A 25,622-nucleotide genomic window follows, 5' to 3' on the forward strand; every position below is an offset into this window, starting at 1 on the left:
GGAAGAGGCTTCTCTGCTGTCTGCTCTGGGTGTGTGAGGATGTGCTGCCAGGGTGCAGCCTCGCAGGGACAACAGCTGGCCCACAGGGAGCAAGAAGCTGTGTGTGTGTGTGTGTGTGAGAGAGAGACAGAGACAGAGAGAGGGAGACAGACAGGAAGAGACAGGGAGGAAGAGGGAGAGAGATGGGGAGAGAGATCTGAATCAAGCCTTGCATGCAGCCCCCGCTGAGGCCGCATCTACCCTTCTGGCCTTTCCCTTTCTACAACTTGATACTAAGTAAATCAATTCCCCCTTGGACTGAGCTGTGATGTGGCCGTTAGTTGCAGAAACATAGCTGTCTATTCCTTTATGTGGCCATGTTTAGTGGCCCGTCACTACTCCCCTGCACTGGACAGGCTAGGGAGAGGCCGCTCAGGATGTCTCTGCTCAAGTCTGAGGGCCACACACCACAGCAGAGGGGCCAGAGACTGCGGGCGGCTGGAGGATGGAGAAGTCCCAGCCTGGATTGGGTAGTGGCAGGGTAGAGGAGGCTGGATGCCCCCAGTTCTTAACCCCCTTGAGGATTTCTTCTGGAATGGTATAGGCACAAATATATTTTTGAAAAGAGGTGACCCGAATCGTATGTGGCAATGTCTCACAGATGCACGTGCAGTGGTGTTGGGGAGGTTCACCAGGTTGCAACGTGCTCCTTGCAATTCTGCGCTGCGCCCTGTACTACACATCGTGAATGCAAGAAAACACCTAGAGCATAGCCTGTGTCACCATCCAGTCTATCTTGTGCTGTAATATCAAAGCCATTTACTACCTACCGTTACCTGTGCTTTCGGAACTTACGGCCACACTGTAGCTTGCTTCTGTCCCTTGAAACACAAGTTTCCAGATCTCAAGCGCTGAGCCCAGGTGAGAACTGAACTCTGTGGATGACACAAAGGCTTTGATGAGAGCAACAAGGCCTCTGGGACAGCTCTGGTGCCTCTGAGACTCCAGGCCTTGGGGATCCCAGGGCAGTTCATCTTTTATCTAGAAAAATAGCGCTGATTACTTATCATTGTCCCGATACTCTGTGGGCATAGATTGCCTTAAATGTTTCAACTAGGATGCAGAAACCAAGTAAGACAAAGCCCACACGGCCCAGAGTCTGTAGCTCCTGCCTTGCAGGCAGTCCTGGGCCAAGTTAGCCGCTGCTGATGCAGTGGCTCTCGGGCTGGAAAGGCCCTCAGCTCACAGCAGCTGCTGCCTGGATTCTTCCGAGGCTGGCCTGCCCTCCGCTCACCACCCCACTGTGCAGAGCCCTGTCCTACCAGCGGCTTCCTCTGGTCCTGCGGATGTGAGCACCCGGCCCTCCTTACTCTGAGTCCTTAGCAGGAATTCTCAGAAAAGAGGTGAACACGCACACGGAGCTCTCCCGCAGAGCCAGAGTAGCTACAGAGCTCAGGGACAGATCCTGGAGGTGGACTTGGGAGAGGCTTTCGAAAAGAAGGAGAGGTCTGCAGAGGGGCAGCCAGCCTAGGGCTGAGGGCAGGTGAGAGGGGAGACCCCTGGGGCAGGGCCGTGCACGCCCGTGGAGAGGCGGGGTGGGGAATGGGAGATGTCTTGTGGATGTGGGTGGGGACCAGAGCCCAAGACCTCCATGCTGGCTGGGAGCACCGTCTCACAGATGGTGGAGGGCTGTGGGGGTCTGGGCAGCAGCACCACGTGAATGAGGAGTCTCGTCTGCTCGGCTTGTTGGGCGGGCCTGGAGCCTCTGCCTCCCAGAGAGCTGACCGGCTCAGGGGGTGGTTCTGCAGGATCCCGCAGGAGGAGGATGAATAGGAGTTTCAGAGTCAGAGAAACCTGGATTCCAGCCCCAGCGTTGGCTGATCTGAGGCTCTGGGCAAGTCCCGCAAGGTCTCAGTGTCTTCATCTGTAAAGTGGGACTAGAGGCACCTTCTTCACAGGGCTTAGGTGAGGGCCAAATGGGATAAACACACTTGGCTTTGATATCAGTGAGTGGCACACGCCAGGGACTCAGTGAGTGTGGTCTGCTTGGTCCCCACCCTCCTCCGTTCCCCACCCTCCTCCCCCACCCTCCTCCGTTCCCCACCCTCCTCCGTTCCCCACCCTCCTCCGTTCCCCACCCTCCTCCGTTCCCCACCCTCCTCCGTTCCCCACCCTCCTCCGTTCCCCACCCTCCTCCGTTCCCCACCCTCCTCCCCCACCCTCCTCTGTTCCCCACCCTCCTCCCCCACCCTCCTCCGTTCCCCACCCTCCTCCCCCACCCTCCTCCGTTCCCCACCCTCCTCCCCCACCCTCCTCCGTTCCCCACCCTCCTCCCCCACCCTCCTCCGTTCCCCACCCTCCTCCGTTCCCCACCCTCCTCCCCCACCCTCCTCCGTTCCCCACCCTCCTCCCCCACCGCCACTGTCTTCCCCTCTTCCCTCCCCGTCCGCATAGTGTCTATTCTGGCAGGTCTCTCCTCCCCAGCCTCCCAGGGAAAGGTCAGATTTCACATCGCATGTATGTATCTGTGTCTGTTTTCCTCTTTCTCATGGTGAAATCCTTCAAGGTTAGCCCCAACTACTCCCCTTGCTGGGGAACAAATCTCCATAGCAACCAGTTCCTGGCTCTGTCCTTCCTTCTTCCCCAGGCTGAGACCTCAGTCCTCTTAGGATGCAGCTACCCGAGCTGCTGCTTCTAGGGGACGGTCCAGTCCCTCTGCCCAGTGACGCCCATGACAGTGGCAGGACTGTCTAACTTAGGGTGGTCAACCAGAGAAACTCAGATCCCTTGGATTTCTGCCCGAAGGCCACTGGAAATGCATGTCCTATACTCTGTTTGTGAGCCCCGAGGCTGAAGGAGGGCTGAATGGCTGGGCGCATCTGGCAGCCGGGCAGGGGATGTGATGTGGTGTGCGTGGTGGTGCACAAGCTGTGCAGCAGAGGTGCAGGCCTGACTCTTCACTGGAAGCTCAGCATCTCTCCTGAGGATGCCGCCTTGGAAAGGGGGAGGCCGTCAACGAGAGATGAAGCTCTCTGTTCTGGGCCAAATTTAAGCCAGTTTTAAATAATGCAATTGGCTTCGGAGGCCCCAGAGTCTCCAGGAGGAATTAATAATGGATGAGCTTTCCTCCTGCATCCCTCCTCCCTTCCAGGGTGCTGCAGAGGATCCTCTCTGCCGAGAGCCTGCCTGGTCCTGCCCTGGCCTCACACGGGTCTGGCGGGGGGCTGGAGGGCGCCCAGCTTGGGGAGCAGGCCTGGGTTGGTCTGCGTGGAAGCATGCAGAGGCCTCGCTGCTGCATGGAAGAGCCTTTCCTGGGCCTCTCCTGCTGTCCATCACCAAGTGCTGGCCATGTCCCAAGGGCCGTCCTCACCTCCTCCCTCTCCCCCACATCCCCGGGCTGCCAGGTCCTGGATTCTGCTGCTCTGTGACCTCAGCTCACCCTCTGGTTTCCTTCCCTACAGCCTCTGCCTGTGTCCTGGCCCTCACTGCACCCCCAAGATTAAGGCCATGGCCTCTGCAGCCCCCCACCTCCAGTGCAGCCACCTGCGGGGGAGTGGCCTTGCTAAGTCCCATCTGACGCCTACAGCGGCCTCACTCAGCAAGACCCATCTGACGCCTACAGCGGCCTCACTCAGCAAGACCCATCTGACGCCTACAGCGGCCTCACTCAGGGCCCTTCTCTGGCCCCCATTGCTCCCGGGACCAAGTACACCCTCCTCGGCTGCTGTGAGAGTCCACACCCCTGAGCCCCTCCTCGGTGACCGGCACTGTCTGTCCCAGTCTCCCAGGTCTGCCGGACCCTCTTCCTGCCCTCCTGTGCTGACACCCCTGACCGCTGCAGGCCCAGCTCAGGTGGCCCCTCCCAGACTGGCTGGCGGCTCCTGCCCATGGGCTTCTTTTGGGGACATTTAGGACAAATCCGTGGGAATGTCTGTTTACGTGCCTGGCTCTCTCCTGAACTGCAGCTTTTCAAAGCAGGCCTGTGACCTCTCATTGTTTCCTGAGGGTCCAGGGCCTCTCCTGGCATGGAGAGGGCTTCGCAGAGTTGATGAATAAATGAACCATGGGTGAATGAACTCAGAGGCAGCGGAAGGAAGGGAGGAGGGAGTGAGGAATTAGGAAGGCAGGGGGGCCTTTCTCCTCTCCTTTGGAACAAGCGATGGACATGGGTTGTGTGTGCCAAGCCAGCAGGCTGGCATGTGCTGGAGGGCCGGGCTGAGGCTGGGTGCAGGGGAGCGGATTAGCGGATTAGCTCCAGCTAATCCAGCTAATCAGCAGATCAGCTCCAGGCTGTCTCAGGGACCACTCGGGCTAGCAGAGTGCACTCATCTCCCACTTCTCTCCTCTGCCCAGACCTCCTCTAAACAGTTGGGTGTAGGAGGAACCGAGCACTGTCCCCGTGCCTCTCAGGGTATTTTCACGGTGGGCCATGGGGCAGAAAGTCAGGGTGCAAGGCTTGCTCCTCTGCGGTCAGGGCCGAGGGGGCACCCTTCCCCCAGGCAAGGCTGGGCTGCCCCTGGGTATGGGTGCATTAGCTGAGGGGCAGGACGGGAGATGGTGACCTTCCAAGCTGGCCCTTTCGCAGGGCCTGTGCAGTCCTCCTGCCGCCTGGGAGGAGGGTGGCTTGGGCCCAGTGCTCTCGGGGCTTGTTTGGCCGCCTGGGACCCTGCACCGGCTCTGCCTGGGAAGCACGTTCCATTCTGCTGCACTGCAGAGCCGTGAGGGGCTGCTGCTGTGGGCACAGGGGCTGGCCCGGAGGCCCCGAGCGCTGCGGGCACATCCTCCCCAGGCTTGGGGCTGGCAGATAGCAGCCGTGCAGGGCACCGGGCCAGCCCACAGGTCGGGGAGGGTCAGCAGGAGACCCTGTCTGAAGGCCAGGGTGTAACCGGGCAGAGTCGGCTCAGGTTCCGGCCCGGGAGGGCATGCACACTCTGTTTCCCAGGCAGGGGCCGAAGTGCGCCGCCATGCTGCTTTTGTTTGGCTGTGTGTCGTGGACTGGCTGCCAACCACCCTGGATGCCAGGGCCTGATGCTGGGATCAGGGGTTCAGGCTGCAGGGAGAGTGGGGGGTGCCCAAGGGCCAATGTTCTAAGTGACAGTTGTGCCAAGCTGGCCCTGTGTACCCTGTCTCCATTCTCTTCCTACACAGTGGGAGATCTGGGCTCGTGTCCCCTCAATGACCATCAGATGGCAACAAAGAGGCCTGGGAGACCCTGGGGAGCCAAAGCCCTGCTCTGTGGGCAGCTGAAAGGGACACAGAGCACATTGCACCCATAGAACACAGTGTGACTTCTGGTGCCAGCCCCAGGGCCCATGGGGCAAGGGCCGGGTCTTTCCCCAAACAAGCTTACAGATTTGTTGAATAGATGACCTTACACACATGCTTTACATGTACAGGTGAAGACACAAGAAAGAATTTCAAAACCCCAGATGCCAGCAGTAAAAAGTCACTAAGAGCCAGCACTGTGGGAGCAGGAGAAAATGCTCAGTGACCGTGTGTGCACACATGTGTGTCTGCGTGCCTGTGCATGAGTGTGTGTGCATACATACGTGCACATGTTTGTGTATGCGTGAGCATGTGTGAAAGCTTTGGACTCTTATCATGCAGGGATGGGACGGGAGGGCTTGAGTCTCCTCAGGGAAGGAAATGGAAAGGGAATCCCCAGGATACAGCAGGATGGCACAGCTCCGCCTGGGATTCTGGTGGGAGAAACTCTCCGGTGAGAAAGGGGTGTCCTGAGCCTCTGTTGTGAGCTGCTTTGGAGCTGGAGCTGACACTTTCCAGGTGGGGCCAGAAGTTCCAAGCAGAGAATGATCTTACGAATCAGTCTCAGGCCTGGGATACCTCAAGGTGCTGCGAATAAATCAACAAAACACTTAGGTCTTGTAGGAGTTATGTTGAGAAGAAAGTCTTGATGATTACCAGCTCACAATACAGCTTGAGCAGGACCCCATGTGTTTCTTTATGAACTCAGCTCAGCAGCCCAAGAAGCAGGAGTATCGGACTCTAAGCGCTGAGGGTAATGAGGCACAATGGAAGAGTAATAATGATGGTTATTAAGGAGCTGAGAGGAGCACAAACCCTAAAGGGGGAACAAGACATTATGATACAAGAACAGGGAGGTTTGAAAAAATGGACCTCTGAAAATAGCATGGGTAACGCTAAAATGAAACCCTGAACAGGTGAGTTCAACAGCTCGTGAAATACAGTGAAGAAAATCACAAGTGAAGAGGAGATTGGTTAGAGGACATCACCCAGGCTGTGGCATGGGGAGACGAGATGAGAAATACAACAGAAGGCTGGGTGCAGTAGCTCACACCTGTAATCTTAGCACTTTCGGAGGCTGAGGCTGGAGGATCCTTGAGGCCAGGAGTTCGAGACCAGCCTAACTCTCAGACAGAGCGAGACCCCATCTGCCCACAAAATTAAAATTTTAAAAAAATTAGCTGGGTGTGATGGCAGGCATCTGTGGTCTCAGCTACTTGGGAGGCTGAGACGGGAGGATCACGTGAGTCCAGGAATTCAGGGCTATGGTGAGCCATGATCATGCCACTGCACTCCAGCCTGGGTGACAGAGTGAAATCCCATCTCTAAAAAATAAAAATAAAAGGAATACAACAGAGAAGTTCGAAGACACAGAGGAGAGACTTAGCAAGTGGGATGATAAAGAGGGTGGGGGAGATGCTGTACTCAGTGAGAAAATGGCTGAGGAATTAGCAGGACCAATGAAAGACACGAGTGTTCAGATGGAGAAAACAGAAGCACGGAAATTGAAGAATTGTTCCCTTATTGGGCTGAGTCAATTTATTCATACAGCAAATATATTCTGAGCACCTCTGAGACACGGGCACGGGTGGGTTAGCTGAGGAGCAGGACGGGAGATGGTGACCTTCAGAGCTGGCCCTTTCGCAGGGCCTGGGCAACAGCATTTGCTCCAGATTACAACAGTCTGCGCAGGAATATTGAGCACGGGAGTAGCTCTGAGAGAGGTTAGATGATTTGCCATTGGTCCATGGTGGGGGACCAGCATGGCTGAGCTGGGGGCCAGGGCTGTCTGCTCCCTGTGGGCTCTGCTCACTCTACCTCCTGTTCCAGAGGGGCCGGAGCCAGGCAGCAGAGGGGTGAAGGCACCCTGTGCTCCTGACACCTGCTCCCAAGACATCCCTTCCTTCTCCGGTGGTCCCTCTCGGTTTCTAGCAGATGCCTTGCTCTAGGCTAGAGACTGGCCCATGTCCTGAGGCCTGGCAGTCCCAGAGCTTTGGGGCCCCCTTCCCCACACTGTGTGGGGCCCTGCCTGCTCTTGTCTATTGGGACCTCTTTGAAGGCCTCGAGGCCCTGACCCTGGACCCTGTTCCCTATGAACGACATCCCTGGCAGCACCTGCTTGTGCTCCAGGCAGAGTGGAGAAGGTCTTGTGCATGCAGGGGAGCCAGGTTAAAAGTGCATTTCAGATAACAGCACTTGAGAAATCCGAAGTGTGTCTCTCACACCGCAGGGTGCACTGTGTGTACGTACATGTGTGTGTATGTTGCATGGCTACACGGTAGAGGCAGAACACTGGGTCAGCTCCTAGCATCACAAGGTGTGGACAGGGGCCTCATGGGGATGGGATGGAGGGGTGCAGGCTGCTGGGGGGCCCTTCCGGAGCAGGGCTGGAATGCTCCCTCCTACTCCGACTGGGCTCCGTGCTCCTCCTGCTGCTCTTACAACTGCTCAGGTTCGCACCAAGCTCCCAGCGTGAAGAGGTGCGGGTGCTGCTCGGCGTTCTATGCCCGGAGCTCTGTGGCCCTGTGCCCGCCCTTCCTCTCTGAACCACTCTTCCTCATCTGTGGAAGGAAACTTTGGCACAACAGCTTCCTTCAAGCTCCCACAGTTCATGCTTCCTCACAGGGAGGCAGGCAAAGCCTAGGGGAGAGGCTCACCCTGTGGAATTTCTCTTTGGAAAGAGAAAAAGTTCCATCCATCACTCCCGGTGAAGGCTCTGTGATGGGTGGCCACGGCTCCCAGATGGGCCCACTGCCCATCTCTCAAAAAGAGGAAGAGGGAGGCTTGCCAGGGTGAGATAAGGGAGTGTTTCCCTGGATGGCCCTGGGCGTTCATTACCTGTGTGGCCAGGACAGGAGAGCATTCATCCTGGGCCAGGAGACGCACTCTCCGCAGAGCCTTCACTGTGGCTACGAATTGCTCAGTTCAGGCGCAGACAGCCATGGTGTAGGGAGCAGGGGAGGAGAAGGCAGGCCCAGAGCAGGTGCAGTGGGGCAGCGGCACCCAGGATACAGGCAGCGTGGGCAGGGTGCTGTGGGCTCCGCAGGCCACGCACAGCATGGCTTTGCATGTCCTGTGAGCACCCGTGGCACTCGTGTGCCAAAGGCGGTGCTGGGTACAGTCACACCCACCCTCTCGTTCAGTCCTCCCAGAAACTCCGTAAGGGATATGCTACTTTTTTTAGTGACGACATTATTTATTGTCTGAGCTGAGACTCTTGGAAGTGAAAGAAGTGTGATGGATGATTATGTGGGGGCACGAGAACGTTCACTGTGAGGGTCCCAGGCAAACTGAGCGACCAATTCCCCGGTGGTAAAACAGACTCAGGTGCGAGTTAGTTTTGCGTGAGGCTCAGAGGCAAATCTAGGACTTCCAATGCTAAGCTTTTAGCCCTTCTTCTGCCCTGTAACCCTGGACTGCAAGGCCGGCCAGCAGGTTTAGTGGGGCACCATCCCCAACTCCGCTGGGGAAGTGCAGAGGCCACAGGCACTTCCTGATGGCAGCCCACCATCCCCAGAGGTTTGGGGCCACTTCCTCCCTGCCTGACCCTTCATTCACTGGCAGCCGAGTGCTGCTCTCTTTCTTTCTTTCTTTTTTTTTTCAATTAAAATAAATAATGAATCAACTTTAAAGCTCTCATAGAGAATATAAGCTAAATTACAATGTGTCAGAGGCACATTACCCCAATGGCAATATTTTCTAAAATGTCTCTTCTCTTTTTTTTGAGACTGAGTTTTGCTCTTGTCACCCAGGCTGGAGTGCAATGGCGCGATCTCAGCCCACTGCAACCTCTGCCTCCAGGGTTCAAGTGATTCTCCTGCCTCAGCCTCCCAAGTAGCTGGGATTACAGGCGCCCACCACCGTGCCCAGCTACTTTTTGTATTTTTAGTAGAGATGAGGTTTCACCATATTGGCCAGGCTGGTCTCAAACTCCCGACCTCAGGTGATCCACCCTAGTGCTGCTCTCTTTCTGGGTCAAACCTGACCAGGGGCAGACGGCAGTTCCCTCCACGGACTGCCGGGGCCGGACTTGCTGGCCACCCAGGAAGCTCCTCTCCCGCCCAGGAAGCTCCTCTCCCCCTCCCCGGTTCTGCTTAGGTCAGTCCCTCCACACTCAGATACGCAGCTCTATGATCCTGGCCAGCGTCCCTTTGCTCATTCTTTGAAGAGTGATTTGTTTGTCTAATGTCTTCCTTTTCCCAGCATGTGACAAATTTTTCTCCTGGAGCGTGGCTTTCTGAGCATAGAGGTTGGGTTTCCTCTTGCTGGGCGTCCTACCCACACACCACTTGTATGTGCATGTTTAGGTACATGTGTGCATGTGTGTGTATATAAATAGATGTACATTTTCACCTGTTTGGTTGTAGACAAATTATTTTGCTCCTTCCTTCATTCAACACCTATTTTTTGAAAACCTGTATATATAGGTTCTGAGGATACAGTTTTTTTTTTAAAGATTTTATAAAGCCTATAACCCAAATCTGACATTTTATTGGAGGACACAGGCAATAACCAAACAAAAAATACATTTAAAAATATTAGATAGTTTTAGGTGTTATGACGGCAAATAAATCAGGATTAAGGGCTACAGTGACAAGGTGCAGGTGGAGGGACCACTTCACCCAGGGCACAGGGAGATCTCCGTGGTGAGGCCGTCTGAGCAGAATCTGACTGAGCTAAGGCAGTGAGCTCTGCAAACGTCTGGTGGCCAGAGGGCAGAAAGGGCCCAGGCTTGGCTTGACTTACTCCAGGATTACCAAGGGGCCAGTGTGAGAGACTGGGAGAGGCAGGCAGCGGATGGAGCTCCTGGGTCCTTGAGGGCCATGAGGCCTGACTTAGATTCTATTCTGAACGTCATGGAAGCTACTGGAGGATATTAAGCACTGAGTGAATGAGAGCTGAGTTACATTCAAAAACCGGACTTGGGTGGGTATGCTGAGAAGCTGAGAAGATGTAGCAGAGAAGCAACAGGCGAGGCAGCAGGGATGGCAGGGCAGAGGGAGGCAGGAGACTCTTTAGCTTTAGGAGGCCGTGGTAGGATCCTGGAGTGGAGGACGGTGCCTTGCCACAGTGGCAGCCAGCAGCCTTGAGGAGGTGAAGAGCGACTTCCCAGGGATATCTTAATGAGGAGGAAGTAGCGACTTCCTGATGGATCGAAAGCAGATGTGAATGGAAGAGAGGAGTCAAGGACGCACCTGGGATTTTGGGCACATTGGTGAAAACTAGTGCTGTGCATGGAGAAGCAGGTTGGGAGGTGCAAATCAAGGAGGCTGTTTGAAGCGTGGCGCCTTTGAGATGAGTGATGAGCAGGTGCCTATTCGACAGAAGACAGTTCTCATGTGACGCTGGGGAGGCCTGGAGAAACGGCTCAGATGCAGGGGGAGAGGCAGGCTGGAGGGAGGGGGCTGGGAGCAGGGCCAGGACATGCTTCGGGCACAAAGGCAGCGAGGAGCTGCAGACAATCACAGGGATGCCCAGTGGAAGAAGATCAATGGCCGGGCTGTGTGAGGAGTGGCTGACCGTGCAAACAAGCCCTGGACAAAGAAATCTGTGAAGAGTTGAAGGGAGCCTCCTGGGAGCAGGGGAGCAGCTCCTGCCTGGAACCCCGGGGCGACGGACGGGCAGTCGAGGCTCTCAGGGAAGGAGTTCCGCTGCTCTGACCCTCCGCACTGGCCAGCAGCCCTGATGAACTCATTGCAGGCGTTCTTCCTCGGCCTGCTCCCCTCTTAGTCTGCAGCCAAGGCTCCCCTCCCCATCTTTTAAGGGCATAATCTATTTGCCACCTCCACTTTTGTGTCACTTACTCTCAGCTCCTTGCAATCTGACAGTGAGAGGAGGGGTTAACTGCCCAGGGCTGGGAGATGGAGACAGCATTTTCCTCTCTCTGCCCCAGCTCCTTGAAAAGATCTTGGGTAGCAACACAGAGGTATGACTCTGGTCAGGGAGCTCAGGTGCCAGTGCCCTCTTCTAGGATGGCCCTGGGCCTCTTCTTCCAGCCCTGCCCACCCGATGGAGGCCTTACTAAAGAAAAAGCACACTGTTATGACAGCCTCTCTTTATAACACTCAGGGAAGTGGGTGTAGGACTAGCTTCCCAGGTGGCCCCAAGCATGGCTGGAGCCAGCACAGTGCGGGCACTCAGCAGGTGCTCATTAAATATTAGCTGCTATTGTCAGTTGCTATCGTGAAGCACGTGGCAAGTGCCTGATACTGTGGTGAGTGTTTTACAAAAGTCTGTCTGATTTTATATTCACAAATTATTTACAGGGCATATATTACTGTATTGTTCCATTTCTATAAATGAGAAAGCTGAGGGTCAGAGAGGGTGGTGAGTGCCACAGGTCGTGCGGTTATTACAAGGAGGACCGCGTGACAAGAGTGTGTGCTGCCTAGGAGGGTGAGAGTGGAAGGCCTCTGTCAGCCGCACGGAAGAGAGCCACGTGCCTCCCCTCCCCTTTCCAGTGGCTGGGGAAGAGCATGCATGGGGCCACATTTCACGGTGAATTATGGAATTATGCCTCACAGCAAACAGCAGTCATAGTGCAGTTGGATGTAATGAAACGAAGTTTGTATTGGAATCTATTATGGTCCCAACATAAATTAATTATAACCCTTCTGCTGGAGGGAAGCTTCTTACAGAATTAAAGTTTTGCTGGAGGAGGAGGAGGGAGTGGGGAAGGGCCGAGTAACAGGGAGCCTGAAATGATTCTCTTTGCTGGGGCTCAGGTTGGCAGGGACCCCAGCCATCATCCCCCACATTGGCTGCAGTAATGGTGCCTCCTCCTGAGCCCCTTTAATGTCAGGTATGCCGTATACGTTGCCTAGCTTGATTTTTGAAACACTCTTGTGAAGTATTGATGGCTTGAGTAGTTGTCCCCTCCAAATCTCATGCCGAAATGTGATTCCCCAATGTTGGAGGTGGGGTGTGGTGGGAGGTGTTTGGGTCATGGGGGTGGATCCCTCATGAATGACTTGGTGCCCTCCCTGTGGTTATGAGTGAGTTCTTGCTAATAGAGTTCTCTGGAGAACTGATTGTTAAAAAGATTGTTAAAAAGAGCTTGACTAACTGGGCATGGTGGCTCACGCCTGTAATCCCAGCAATTTGGGAGGCCGAGGCAGGTGGATCACCTGAGGTCAGGAGTTCGAGAGCAGCCTGATCAACATGGCAAAACCCCGTCTCTACTAAAAACACAAAAAATTAGCCGGACGTGGTGGTGCAGGCCTGTAATCCCAGCTACTCAGGAGGCTGAGGCAGGAGAATCACTTGAACCTGGGAGGCAGAGGCTGCAGTGAGTGGAGATCATGACATTGCACTCCAGCCTGGGTGACAAAAGCTAAAACTCCAAATCAAAAAAAAAAAGAAAAAAAAACTAAAGAAAAGAGCTCGACACTGTCTCCCCTCTTTTCTCTTCCCCCTTCTCTCACCATGTGAAGCCAGCTCCTCTTCACCTTCCACCACGAGTGGAATCTCCCTGAGGGCCTCATCAAAGAGGGGGTGGCCGTCATAGGTCGCACAGTTATTACGAGGGGTCTGTGTGAGCTCCTGGTCGTGCTGGCTCTGTGCTTCTTGCACAGCCTGCAGAACTGAGAACCTAATAAACCTCTTTTCTTTGTAAATTACCCAGTCTCCAGTGTTCCTTTAGAGCAAGATAAAATAGGCAAAGACAGGTATCATCAGCCTAGTTTACAGATGAAGAAACTGAGGTTGAGGGACTTACACAAGGCAGCACTGCCAGTGAGGCCTGCTAGTCTCCAAGGCTGAAGCATGACCGCCTCCCACCTCTCAGCCTCAGGCTGCAGGCCACACTTAAACTCTTCCCCGCTGTATAATTCTGATCAAGCCACTTAGTCAACTCTCCAGCCCACAGCTCCTCGGTCTGTAAAGGAGAGTTCATATCTAGTTAGTCACCAGATCTGCCTAATCATGGTGAGGCTGGAGGAATCCAAAGTGGGCATGCACTCTGCACTCATTTCTTTATTCATGTGTGCCCATCCCAACAAGCAGGGAGCCTGGCCAGGAGGGCCCCTGGGAGAAGGCACTGATGGGCTGTGTTCCATTTAGGAAGGATGGACGGTTGTGAGACGGGTAAGTCAGAACGGGCTGCCCACCTCGGCCGAGAGGGCCCCGTGGTGGGTTGGCACCATCTGGGCCTGGAGAGCTGCTCAGGAGGCTCTCTAGGGCTGGGTGACCAGGGCTGGGTGACAGTAGCCATGGGAGCAGGTGCTTACCTGGGGCTGTCCCTGAGCAGGGGCTGCATTGGGTGCTCTGTGAGCACACACTTCTCTATTCACCTGAGTCCCCTGAGTGATGAGAACACCCTTGTTTTGCAGATGAATCTGAGCATGGAGATGTTAAGTGGCTTGCCTGAGCCACACAGCAGATGGATGGTGTAGCTGGGACCTGAGGGCAGGCAGTCCCAGCCCGAGGACTTCCCAAGGTTGTGGCAAACTCTGACAGCATGACCCCAGGGAATACCCATCTCAGCTCTGGTCAGACACTGTGGAGTTGTGTTGTAACCCACACAGCTGGAGACAGCCACCCTAGCCCCACCCTTATCCTCTCCCAAAGGAACCTGCCCTTTCCCTTCATTTTCCTCTTACTGCATTGAGGGACCACACAGTGTGGCAGAAGGAACATGGATTCAGGACCCAGATGGACTTGCTTCACAGTGCAGCCCTCCTGTCCTCTTGCAGAGTGCGTCTTCCACTGTGAAGTTGGGACAGTCACACCAACTCAATACTGCTGGGCCCGTCACACGGTGGGCAGGCAACGGATGGCAGTCACTGGCTGTGGGTCTGCAGAGGTGGGATCCAGAAGGTCTGGTGGGGAGGCCTGAGTGTGGCCTGGATCAATGAGTGAAGGTTGCACCCAGGGTGAGCATGAGGAGCCAACTCAGTTCTTCCCTTGGCCCCTTAAATGTTCCCTGAAAAATCACTGACATGAGGCTGATGGATTCATAGGAGAAGAGGCACACAAATGTGTCCAATGTGTGTACACAAGAGCCTTCAGAAAGAAGACCCAAAGATACAGGAAAATTGTCCATTTTCATGCTTAGGTTCAGCAAAGTATGGACAGTCATGTAGAAAGAGGACTGGACAAAAAGGGCGTGGTCTAATGCCAACAGAGTGAGTGGGGAACCCAGCAAGGCCTGTCTGTCTAGATTCTTTCTGGTCTCTCTGAGCAGCATATCCCGCCCTTCCGGGTATAGGGCGGGGCCCTCTCTGGAATGGGGGCCTTATGACCTACAGTCAAACAAGGCAGGTCAGGTCATTTTTTTATGGCCAGTTTTAACACAGAAGTCTGATGGCTGGCATTGGCGAAAAGGGGTTCTGGTTTCTATGACTTGCCTTCGTAAAGAGGGATTCTAATTTGTATGGCTAGCCTTTGGGGAGAATGGGACAGCTTGTAAGGCTGAGGCCTGCATTTTGGGATACTGTTTTCTGAGCCCCAGCTTGTGCATGCATGCGAACATATGTGTGTGTGTGCAGGAGGCAGCCCGGCAAAGAAGCTGAGTGGGGAGTGGGCCTGTGGGTCAGAGGGTAAGGGGGTGCAAAAGGGCCACAGTGGGCTTGGAGCCCAGGGCAATGGGGCAGGGGAGCTTGAGGCTCGTTACAAAAGGCCTGGCTGCTGAAAGTCCCCTCTCTGCCTCCTTCCCAGGCCAGCAGCCTGCACACCTCCTTTGCTCTCGGCAGGAGGGAAGTTGCTTTCATCACCTGAGGTTCTGCTGCTGGAAAGTCTGTCCTCCTTTCCTCTTCTCTCCCATCTCCCCCTCTCCCAAGGGTGCTCTGGCCCCCATGCTCACACCATGCTCAGTCCTACAGGTACAGAAACAGCCAGCCAGGGTGTTGCCCCCAGTCAAATGCAGGGGCTTTGTGCCTGGGAGCTAAGCATATCCGCATAACATCTGCTTGCACTTGCTCTGGCAGACTGCAGCTTTATCAAGTTCTCAGGGGGCTGAGCAGTGAGCTCAGAAATCTGAGATCTGACCTACTTTCCTCAAAGCATCTTTGGGCCTGTTTCCATCCTCCCTGCTCCTGGGCCTTGTTTCATCTGTCCATGGGCAGGTGCCTGCGTCCTTGCTGACTGCCGGCTACCTTTGCTGTCCTGCTGCCAGACCTCCGACTTCCTCCCTCTTCCTTAGCACAAGGTCTTTAGAGTTGCAGAAACTCAGGCCTGTGGAGTGTCTGATGGCCCCTGAACAAACCATGCAGATCCTCATGACTGCCCTGATTCTGTCAGTCAATCTGCATTAGGAAGAGACACAGAGGACAAGACATGGTCTCTGACCTTGAATAGAGCAAAGTCTGATGAAAAGAATGAGCAAGGGTGGACTAGAGGGCTGAGAGCAGCACAGCTTAGCCACTTGCCACCACCCAACCCCGGGGCCTTTGCACATGCTGGGCCTCATGGGAGCCAGCTCTTGGCCTCTGTCCCCTTGGATCTCAGACGGGCTTTGCCTCCCTCAACACGATCTGAGTTAGGACCCTTTCTCCCCTCCCCTGCTCTGTGCAGTCCTCCTCACGGCTCTCTGATGGCTGTGATTGCTGGTTTAGAGGCTATCTTCCCACTAGACTGCAGGTTTCCTGAGGACAAGGCCCACCTCTGCTTCCTTCTCCACTTGATAGCCAGGGCCCGCAGGGGGTCAGGCTCTGGGTGGACATCAAGTAAGTGTTACTGAATGAGTGAATAAGTGAGTGAGAGTGTGTGGACCCCTGGTTTGCTTTTCCCTGTGAAGAAACAGGAAGGAAAGCCCTCTATGAGAATCCTGAGTTGAAAAATCCTGTGAAGCACTGACTTCCTTCGAAAAAGGGAAAAGAGGAGAAAAGTAACTGCAGTGGAGAACTTGACAAGCACTCCCTCGGCCAGGCGACCAACGCAGCATCCGCAGGGATGAGTCATGCTGACACTAAGTGCCCTTGAAGAGATGGGACGGGAATGGCATTTTACCTCCAGGGTCTTCCTCCCACAGATGCAGAGCACAGTCTAATCATAACAAAACCACCAGACAAACTCCGACGGAAGGTTGTTCTACACAATAACCTGATCGTACTCGTCAAAACTCATCAAAAACAAGAAAAGTCTGGGAAATTGTCCCAGCCAAGAGAGGTCTGAGGAAACATGATGGTAAGAGGTAATGTCATGTCCTGGATGGCAGGAGTCCCCAACCTTTTTGGTGACCTTTTTCCATGGATGGTGGTGGGGGAAGGTTTCAGGATGAAGCTGTTCCACCTCAGATCATCAGGCATTAGTTAGATTTTTGTAAGGAGTGTGCAACCTAGATCTCTCACGTGCGCACTTCACAATAGGGTTCACGCTCCTATGAGAATCTAATGTGGCCTCTGATCTGACAGGAGGGAGAACTCAGGTGGTCATGCTCCCTTGCCCGCTGCTCACTTCCTGCTGTGTGGCCAGTTCCTAACAGGCCACGAACGGGTACTGGTCCACGGCCCAGAAGTTGGGGATTCCTGCTGTATGGAATCCTGGGAAAGAAAAAGTATATTAGGGGAAAATTAAGAAAATAAGAATAAAATACAGACTTCAGCTAATATTAATGCATCCACATTGGATCATGAGTTGTAATAACTAAACTATAATAATGTAGGATGTTGACAATGGGAGCCTGAGTGTGGAGTATATGGAGACTCTCTGGGTTGTCTTCTCAAATTTCCTGGATATCTGAAACTATTTTAAAATTAAAAGTTTATTAAAGGCTGGACGTGTCCCAGCACTTTGGGAGGCCAAGGCAGATGGATCACTTGAGGCCAGGAGTTTAAGACCAGCCTGGGCAACATGGTGAAACTCCACCTCTACTAAAACTACAAAAATTAGTTGGGTATGGTGGCACATGCCTGTGGTCCCAGCTACTCGGAAGGATGAGGCATGAGAAGAACTTGAATCTAGAAGGTGGAGGCTGCAGTGAGCTGAGATCATGCCACTGCACTCCAGCCTGGGTGACACAGCGAGACTCTGCCTCAAAAAAAAAATGCTATTAAAGGACTTCAGTTTATGGTTTGACGTGTAAAGAGCTTGGAAGTCATGACTCTATCCTAACAATAAGAAAATGTTGAACAAACTGAAAATTAACAACTCTCCTTAGATCCATTAAAGAATGGAGGTCACAAGCAAATGTCTGTCCCCGAAGTTATAGAGATGAGCTCTTACTGGAGCAGAAGCCCAAGATCAGTAACTGCCACAGAACCCTGGGCCAGAGCAGGACAGCCTAAACTAGAACCGTCAAAGTGAGGGAGGCTCCATGTGGACATGTTTGCAAGTTAGAAACTGCAGGAGGGGGTCTCGGTTGCAGGGGGGCCCACACATTCTCATGAGTTTTACCTCCAGAGCCCTAGCAGGTTTTTACAGTGAAGGCAGGAGAACGATCCCCCATGCTTGCAGCAGAGGGAGGGAAAAGCAGCCATTTCAAAACATGCGGAATTTATGCTGTGTTCTTCACAAGACCTGACCCCAGGGGAATCTGTTTTACCAAAGCCTAACTGACTAGGGTTTTAGCAGGGCCTAACCAACCTAGGGAAATATTCTACTCTAGCTCTCTCTAACCACTCTGTGTCACTTAAGGAGGAAAATAAAGCATAACTTGGAAGAATGCATGATGGTCACAGCCCAGGTATACAAGCTCAGTAGAAGACTGAGACCCCATCATAGGGCCATAGGATGCTTCCAGCCCCCACACACCTTACCCCCACACACCGTACCCCCACACACCGTACCCCCACACACCTTACCCCACACACCTTACCCCACACACCTTACCCCCATGCCGATGGGGTTCCTGTAGAACCACAAGGATTACAGCTAAAATAAATGCAAGATTCAGACTCTACTTAAGGAGGAGTTTCTTGGGAAAATCTAAGACGAGAGGGGAGATGAAAACAAGGATCCAGAAGCGATCTAAACTTGGATAGCCACAGTACAGCAATCGTGAACACAGGCAAAGAAACCACCTAAGAGACAGGGCAAGCATCAGATCCAGACTCAGACTGAGAAGAGACGATGGAACCGCCAGACCAGGAGTACGATACATCCATGACTAATATGCTAGGGGTCTAATGGGAAAAGTGGACAATATATTAAAAAAATGAGAAAGTTTCTTATCAGTAGACTGCCTTGCAAGAAATGTTAAATGAAATTTTCAGAGAGATAAAAAATGATGCAGGTCAGAAATCGGATATACATAAATAAAGAAAAGCACAAGAGAAGGAATAAATGAAAGTAAAATAAAATGTTTTTATTTTCTATTCTTATAGTAACACAGAACAGTTTGTTCGAAATAATAATAGCCACACCCTATGTGATGATTATAGCTTATGTATAAGTGAAAGGAATGACAGCAATGTTATAAGTGATCGGAGGAGGGAAGGAATTGGAAATACTCTGTTACACAGTAATCGCTCTACTCGCTAGTGGTATAGTGCTATTACAGAGGGGGCTAGAATTAGTTATAAATATATATTGTAAACTCAAGAAAAGCATAAAAATATACAACCATTATAAAAAGTTAAAATGTAGTATAATTCATACGCTAAGAGAGGAGAAGAAATGGAATTATACAAAATATGCCATTAAAACCAGAGAGGGCAGAAAATGAGTGGAAGACACAATAAGAAAAGAAAAGGAAACAAAGAACAAAGGAATTAAATAGAAAAGGGTAACAAATATAATAGATATCAACAAAAAATAGATACCAATGACAATTTTAAATATCAGTGTTCTAAAGACACTAATTAAAAGACAAAGAGTGTCAGAGTGGATGAGAAAACAAGACCCAACTCTATGTTGTCTGCAAGAAGCCTGTTTTACATATAAAGACACAGCGTAAAAATAGATGGACAAATAGATACCATGCTAACACTAATCAAAGGAGAAAGCTGGAATAGATATTAATTTAAAAAAGACCAGACTTCAGAGCAAGGAAAATTATCAGGGGTAAAGAGGGAAAAAAGCGTTAATTCTCCAAGGAGACACAGCAGTCCTTAAAGTGTATGCGTCTAACAACAGTGTCAAAATACATGGAGCAAAAATGGATAGAACCACAAGGAGAAATAGTTAATCCACTATTACAGTTGTAGATTTCAACACTCTTCTATCAGTAACTGACAGACCCAGCAGGCAGAAAATCAGTAAGGATGTAGTTGAACTGAACAGCACCATCAGTCAACTGGGTCCAGTTGATATTTGTAGAATAGTTTATTCAACAGAAGCAGAAAGCACATTCTTCTCAAGACCACGTGAAATATTCACCAAAATGGAAAGAATTATGGGACATGAAACGCACCTTAGCATATTTAAAATGACAGAAATTATACCAAGACGTCTTGGATCATCTCTAAAACATTAATGAAATTAAAATTGAAATCAATAACAGAAAAGTAGCCAGAAAATCCATAATATTTGGAGATTAAACAACACACATCTAAATAAAACATGAGTCAAAGGAAGTCTCAAGAGTAATTTAAAAATATTTCAAAATAAATGAAAAATTAAAATACAACTTATCAAAATTGGTAGGATACAGTTAAGTCAATGCTTAGAGGGCTATTTTTAGCATTGGATGCAGATATTAGGAAAGAAAAAATTAATAATCAAATTTTCTACCGTGGGAAGCTACAATAAGGAGAGGAAATTAAATTCAAAGTATATAGAAGAAAAGTAATACTAAGTAGAGCACAAATCAATGAAATTGAAAGCAGGAAATCAATAGAGAATATCAACAGGACCAAAAGATGGTTCTTTGAAAAGCTCAATAGAATCGATAAGCCACTAACCAGGTTAACTAAGAAAGAGAGAACACACAAATGATTGCTATCAAAAATGAAAGAGAGCTAATCTCTGCTGACCTTATGGACATTAAAAGGATAATGAGAAAATGTTATAAGAACAACTGTACACCCACAAATTTGATAACCTAGGTGAAATGGACCAATTCTTTGAAAGACACAATTTTTCAAAACTCACAACAAAAGAAATAGATAATTTGAATAGGCCTATATCTCTTAAAGACACTGAATTAATAAATAATAACCTTCCAAAACAGAAAGCACAAGCCCACATGGTTTCACTGGTGAATTCTACAATACATTTAAGGAAGAAATTATTACAATTCTCAACAATCTCTTTCAGAAAATAGAAGTAGATCGAGTACTTCATACTCATTATATCAGACCAGCATTATGTTAATACCTAAACCGGGTAGACATTACATTAAAGGAAAGCTACAAACGTATATTTCTCATAAATATACATGTAAAAAATCTCAAATCTCAATAAAATGCCAATCCCAACAACGCAGAGAAAGAATTACATACCATGGCTAAGTAGGATTTATCCCAGGTACACAAGGGTGGCTCAAGAGTTGAAATTAAATTAATGTAATTCAAGATACCAACAGGTAAAAGGAAAAAGACATATTATTATGTCAATAGATGCAGAAAAAGCAGTTGACAAAATCTAATACCTCTTCATGATAAAAACTCTCAATAAACAAGAAATAGAGGGGGGATCTTTCTTAACTTGATAAAGAACATCTACAAAACAACTACATCTAACATGGTGAGAACATGGTGAAAAACATCTGAATGGTGAGAAATTAGATGCTTTTCTGCTAAGATCACGAAGAAGGCAAGAATGTCTCTCCTGCCACTCCTTTTTTTTTGTACCATATTTTCTTTTTTCTTTTTTTTTTAAATATACTTTAAGTTTTAGGGTGCATGTGCACAATGTGCAGGTTAGTTACATATGTATACATGTGCCATGTTGGTGTGCTGCACCCATTAACTCGTCATTTAGCAGTAGGCATATCTCCTAATGCTATCCCTCCCCACTCCCCCCACCCCACAACAGGCCCGGTGTGTGATGTTCCCCTTCCTGTGTCCATGTGTACTCATTGTTCAATTCCCACCTATGATTGAGAACATGCGGTGTTTGGTTTTTTGTCCTTGTGATAGTTTGCTGAGAATGATGGTTTCCAGCTTCATCCATGTCCCTACAAAGGACATGAACTCATCATTTTTTATGGCTGCATAGTATTCCGTGGTGTATATGTGCCACATTTTCTTAATCCAGTCTATCATTGTTAGACATTTGGCTTGGTTCCAAGTCTTTGCTATTGTGAGTAGTGCCGCAATAAACATACGTGTGCATGTGTCTTTATAGCAGCATGATTTATAATCCTTTGGGTATATACCCAGTATTGGGATGGCTGGGTCAAATTGTATTTCTAGTTCTAGATCCTTGAGGAATCACCACACTGTCTTCCACAATGGTTGAACTAGTTTACAATCCCACCAGCAGTGTAAAAGTGTTCCTATTTCTCCACATCCTCTCCAGCACCTGTTGTTCCCTGACTTTTTAATGATCACCATTCTAACTGGTGTAGATGGTATCTCATTGTGGTTTTGATTTGCATTTATCTGATGGCCAGTGATGATGAGCATTTCTTCATGTGTCTTTTGGCTGCATAAATGTCTTCTTTTGAGAAGTGTCTGTCCATATCCTTTGCCCACTTTTTGATGGGGTTGTTTGATTTTTTCTTGTAAAGTTGTTTAAGTTCTTTGTAGATTCTGGATATTAGCCCTTTGTCAGATGAGTAGATTGCAAAAATTTTCTCCCATTCTGTAGGTTGCCTGTTCACTCTGATGGTAGTTTCTTTTGCTGTGCAGAAGCTCTTTAGTTTCATTAGATCCCATTTGTCAATTTTGGCTTTTGTTGCCATTGCTTTTGGTGTTTTAGACATGAAGTCCTTGCCCATGCCTATGTCCAGAATGGTATTGCCTAGGTGTTCTTCTAGGGTTTTTATGGTTTTAGGTCTAATATTTAAGTCTTTAATCCATCTTGAATTAATTTTTGTATAAGGTGTAAGGAAGGGATCAAGTTTCAGCTTTCTACATATGGCTAGCCAGTTTTCCCAGCACCATTTATTAAATAGGGAATCCTTTCCCCATTTCTTGTTTTTGTCAGGTTTGTCAAATATCAGATAGTTGTAGATATGTGGCATTATTTCTGAGGGCTCTGTTCTGTTCCATTGGTCTATATCTCTGTTTTGGTACAAATACCATGCTGTTTTGGTTACTGTAGCCTTGTAGTATAGTTTGAAGTCAGGTAGTGTGATGCCTCCAGCTTTGTTCTTTTGGCTTAGGATTGACATGGCAATGTGAGCTCTTTTTGGTTCCATATGAACTTTAAAGTAGTTTTCTCCAATTCTGTGAAGAAAGTCTTTGGTAGCTTGCTGGGGATGGCATTGAATCCATAAATTACCTTGGGCAGCATGGCCATTTTCATGATATTGATTCTTCCTACCCATGAGCATGAAATGTTCTTCTATTTGTTTGTATACTCTTTTATTTCATTCAGCAGTAGTTTGTAGTTCTCCTTGAAGAGGTCCTTCACATCCCTTGTAAGTTGGATTCCTAGGTATTTTATTCTCTTTGAAGCAATTGTGAATGGGAGTTCACTCATGATTTGGCTCTCTGTTTGTCTGTCATTGGTGTATAAGAATGCTTGTGATTTTTGCACATTGATTTTGTATCCTGAGACTTTGCTGAAGTTGCCTATCAGCTTAAAGAGATTTTGGGCTGAGACGATGGGGTTTTCTAGATATACAATCATGTCACCTGCAAGCAGGGACAACTTGACTTCCTGTTTTCCTAATTGAATACCTTTTATTTCCTTCCCTGCCTGACTGCCCTGGCCAGAACTTCCAACACTATGTTGAATAGGAGTGGTGAGAGAGGGCATCCCTGTCTTGTGCCAGTTTTCAAAGGGAATGCTTCCAGTTTTTGCCCATTCAGTATGATATTGGCTGTGGATTTGTCACAGATAGCTGTTATTATTTTGAGATACATTCCATCAATACCTAATTTATTGAGAGTTTTTAGCATGAAGCGTTGTTGAATTTTGTCAAAGGCCTTTTCTGTGTCTATTGAGATAATCATGTGGTTTTTGTCTTTGGTTCTGTTTATATGCTGGATTATGTTTATTGATTTGCTTATGTTGAACCAGCCTTGCATCCCAGGAATGAAGCCCACTTGATCATGGTGGATAAGCTTTTTGATGTGCTGCTGGATTCGGTTTGCCCGTATTTTATTGAGGATTTTTGCATCGATGTTCATCAAGGATATTGGTCTAAAATTCTCTTTTTTTTGTTGTTCTGCCACTCCTTTTTAACATTGTACTGGAAGTTCTAGCTAATGCAACAAGAAAAATAAAGGAAAGGAAATGAAATGTATACAGATTGGGAAGGAAGAAATAAAATTGTGTTTGTTCCCAGATGACATGATTGTTTATGTAAAAAATCCCAAAGAACCACCACCACCACCACCACCACCACCACCACCACCAACAACAACAACAACAAACTCTTGGAACTAATAAGTGATTATGACAAAGTTGCAGAATACAGGTTATGCTTTCTTTTGAGAAATGAATGACTAGAATTTAAAATTAAAAGCTCAATGCTGTCTATATTACCAGCAAAAAGTACTTATGTAAACATCTAACAAAATATGTACAATATTCATATGAAGAAAACTACCAAAATCTCATGAAAGAAATCAAAGAAGATGTAAATAAAATAGATATTCCATGGACATGGACAGGAATACTCAATATTATCAAGATGTCAGTTCTTCTCTACCTGGTCTATGGATTTAATGCAATCCCAATTAAAGTCCCAGCTAGTTATCCTGTAGATATTTTAACAAAACTGATTCTAAAGATAATTGGAAAAGGCAAAAATCCAAAAAAAAAAAAAAAAGATTCACTGGAAGAGGAAAGTTGGAGGACTACCTGTACGTGACTTTAAGATTTAACATAAAGTTATAGTAAACAACACAGTGCCCTACTGGCAAAAGAACAGACAAATGGATCAATGGAACAGAATGGAGAGCCCAGATATAGATCTACACAAACATACTCAACTAACCTTTGACAAAGAAGCAAAGACCACTTAATGGAGAAAGAGGCTTTTCAACAGACAGTTTTGGAGCAATTGGACATCCACATACAAAATAATACGCAGACCTTACACCTTTCACAATGAACTCAAATGGATCGTAGACCTAAATGTAAAATGCAAAACTATAAAATTTCCAGCATATAACATAGGTGATAAGCTAGGTGAGCTTTGGTTTGGTGATGACATTTTAGTTACAATGCCAAAAGCATAATCCATGAAAGAACAAACTGACAAGTTGGACGGCATTATAATTAAAAACTTCCACTCTGTGAAACACACTGCTAGAAGAATAAAAACATGAGTCAGACTGGGAAATAACGTTTGCAAACTTATTGGATAAAGGACTGGCATCTGAAAAGAACTGTCACAACTCAACCATAAGAAAACCAACAACCTAATTTAAAAATGGGGAAAATGTCAGAACAGACACCTCACCAAACAAGATATGCAGCTGGCAAATAAGCCTATGAAGAAATAATCAACATCATGTCGTCAGAGGATTGCAAAGTAAAAGAATGAGATACCACTATACACTTATTAGAACAGTAAAATCCAAAATGCTGACAACATCAAATATTGGCAAGGATGTGGAGCAACAGGAACTCTTGTTTATTTCTGGTGGAAATGCAAACTGGTACAGCTACTGTTGAAGACAGCTTGGCAGTTTTTTAAAATAATAAAATTAAACACACTCTTACCATAAATCTAGCAATTGTTCTCCTAGGTATTTACCCAAATGAATTGAAAACTTATGTCTGCAAAAACCCCGCACGTGACTGTCTATAGCAGCTTTAATCATAATTGCCAAAACTTGGAAGCAACCAAGTTGTCTGTCAAACTGTGGTACATTCGGACAATGAAACGTTCAGTGGTTTTTTAGAAATGAGCTATCAAATCATGAAAAGACATACAGGAACCTTAAATGCATATTGCTAAGTAAAAAAACCAATCTGAAAGGGGTATATTCTGTATGATTCCAACTATAAGGCACTCTAGAAAACTATGAAGACAGGTCATTGAGTGCCGGGGGCTGGTGGGCGTCAGGGGGAGGGAGGGATGCATTGGTGGAGCACAGAGGACCTTTAGGGAAGTGAAACTATTCTATATAATACTGTAATGATGGGCACATGTCATTACATATTTGTCAAAATCCATAGAGTGTATAATACCAACAGTGGCCCCTAATGTAAAGTATGTACATTTAGTGAAATGATGTCTCACTCTTGGCTCATCAATTGTAACAAACATACCACATTTAGGCAAGATGTTAAAAATAAGGAAGATGTGTAGGGAGGGTAAGGGGATCTATGGGAGTTTTTGGATTTTCCAATAAACTATTCTGTAAACCTAAAACTGCTTTAAAAAGTCTATTAATTAAAAATAAATAGGCTGGGTGCAGTGGCTCATGCCT

At 48.7% G+C, this 25,622-nt stretch overlaps 3 annotated features.

Moving 5' to 3' along the window:
- Positions 8,267-8,766: an enhancer, noted in NCBI's record as "H3K4me1 hESC enhancer chr11:134406331-134406830 (GRCh37/hg19 assembly coordinates)". NCBI's record gives its function as "activates a minimal SCP1, AML or CMV promoter by ChIP-STARR-seq in primed H9 embryonic stem cells {active_cell/tissue: H9 hESC(primed)}" and the evidence as "EXISTENCE:reporter gene assay evidence [ECO:0000049][PMID:30033119]".
- Positions 12,892-13,392: an enhancer, noted in NCBI's record as "H3K4me1 hESC enhancer chr11:134410956-134411456 (GRCh37/hg19 assembly coordinates)". NCBI's record gives its function as "activates a minimal SCP1, AML or CMV promoter by ChIP-STARR-seq in naive H9 embryonic stem cells {active_cell/tissue: H9 hESC(naive)}" and the evidence as "EXISTENCE:reporter gene assay evidence [ECO:0000049][PMID:30033119]".
- Positions 13,393-13,893: an enhancer, noted in NCBI's record as "H3K4me1 hESC enhancer chr11:134411457-134411957 (GRCh37/hg19 assembly coordinates)". NCBI's record gives its function as "activates a minimal SCP1, AML or CMV promoter by ChIP-STARR-seq in naive H9 embryonic stem cells {active_cell/tissue: H9 hESC(naive)}" and the evidence as "EXISTENCE:reporter gene assay evidence [ECO:0000049][PMID:30033119]".

The sequence above is a fragment of the Homo sapiens genome, chromosome 11 (assembly GCF_000001405.40).
Source record: "Homo sapiens chromosome 11, GRCh38.p14 Primary Assembly".
In the NCBI taxonomy this organism is placed as follows: domain Eukaryota; kingdom Metazoa; phylum Chordata; class Mammalia; order Primates; family Hominidae; genus Homo; species Homo sapiens.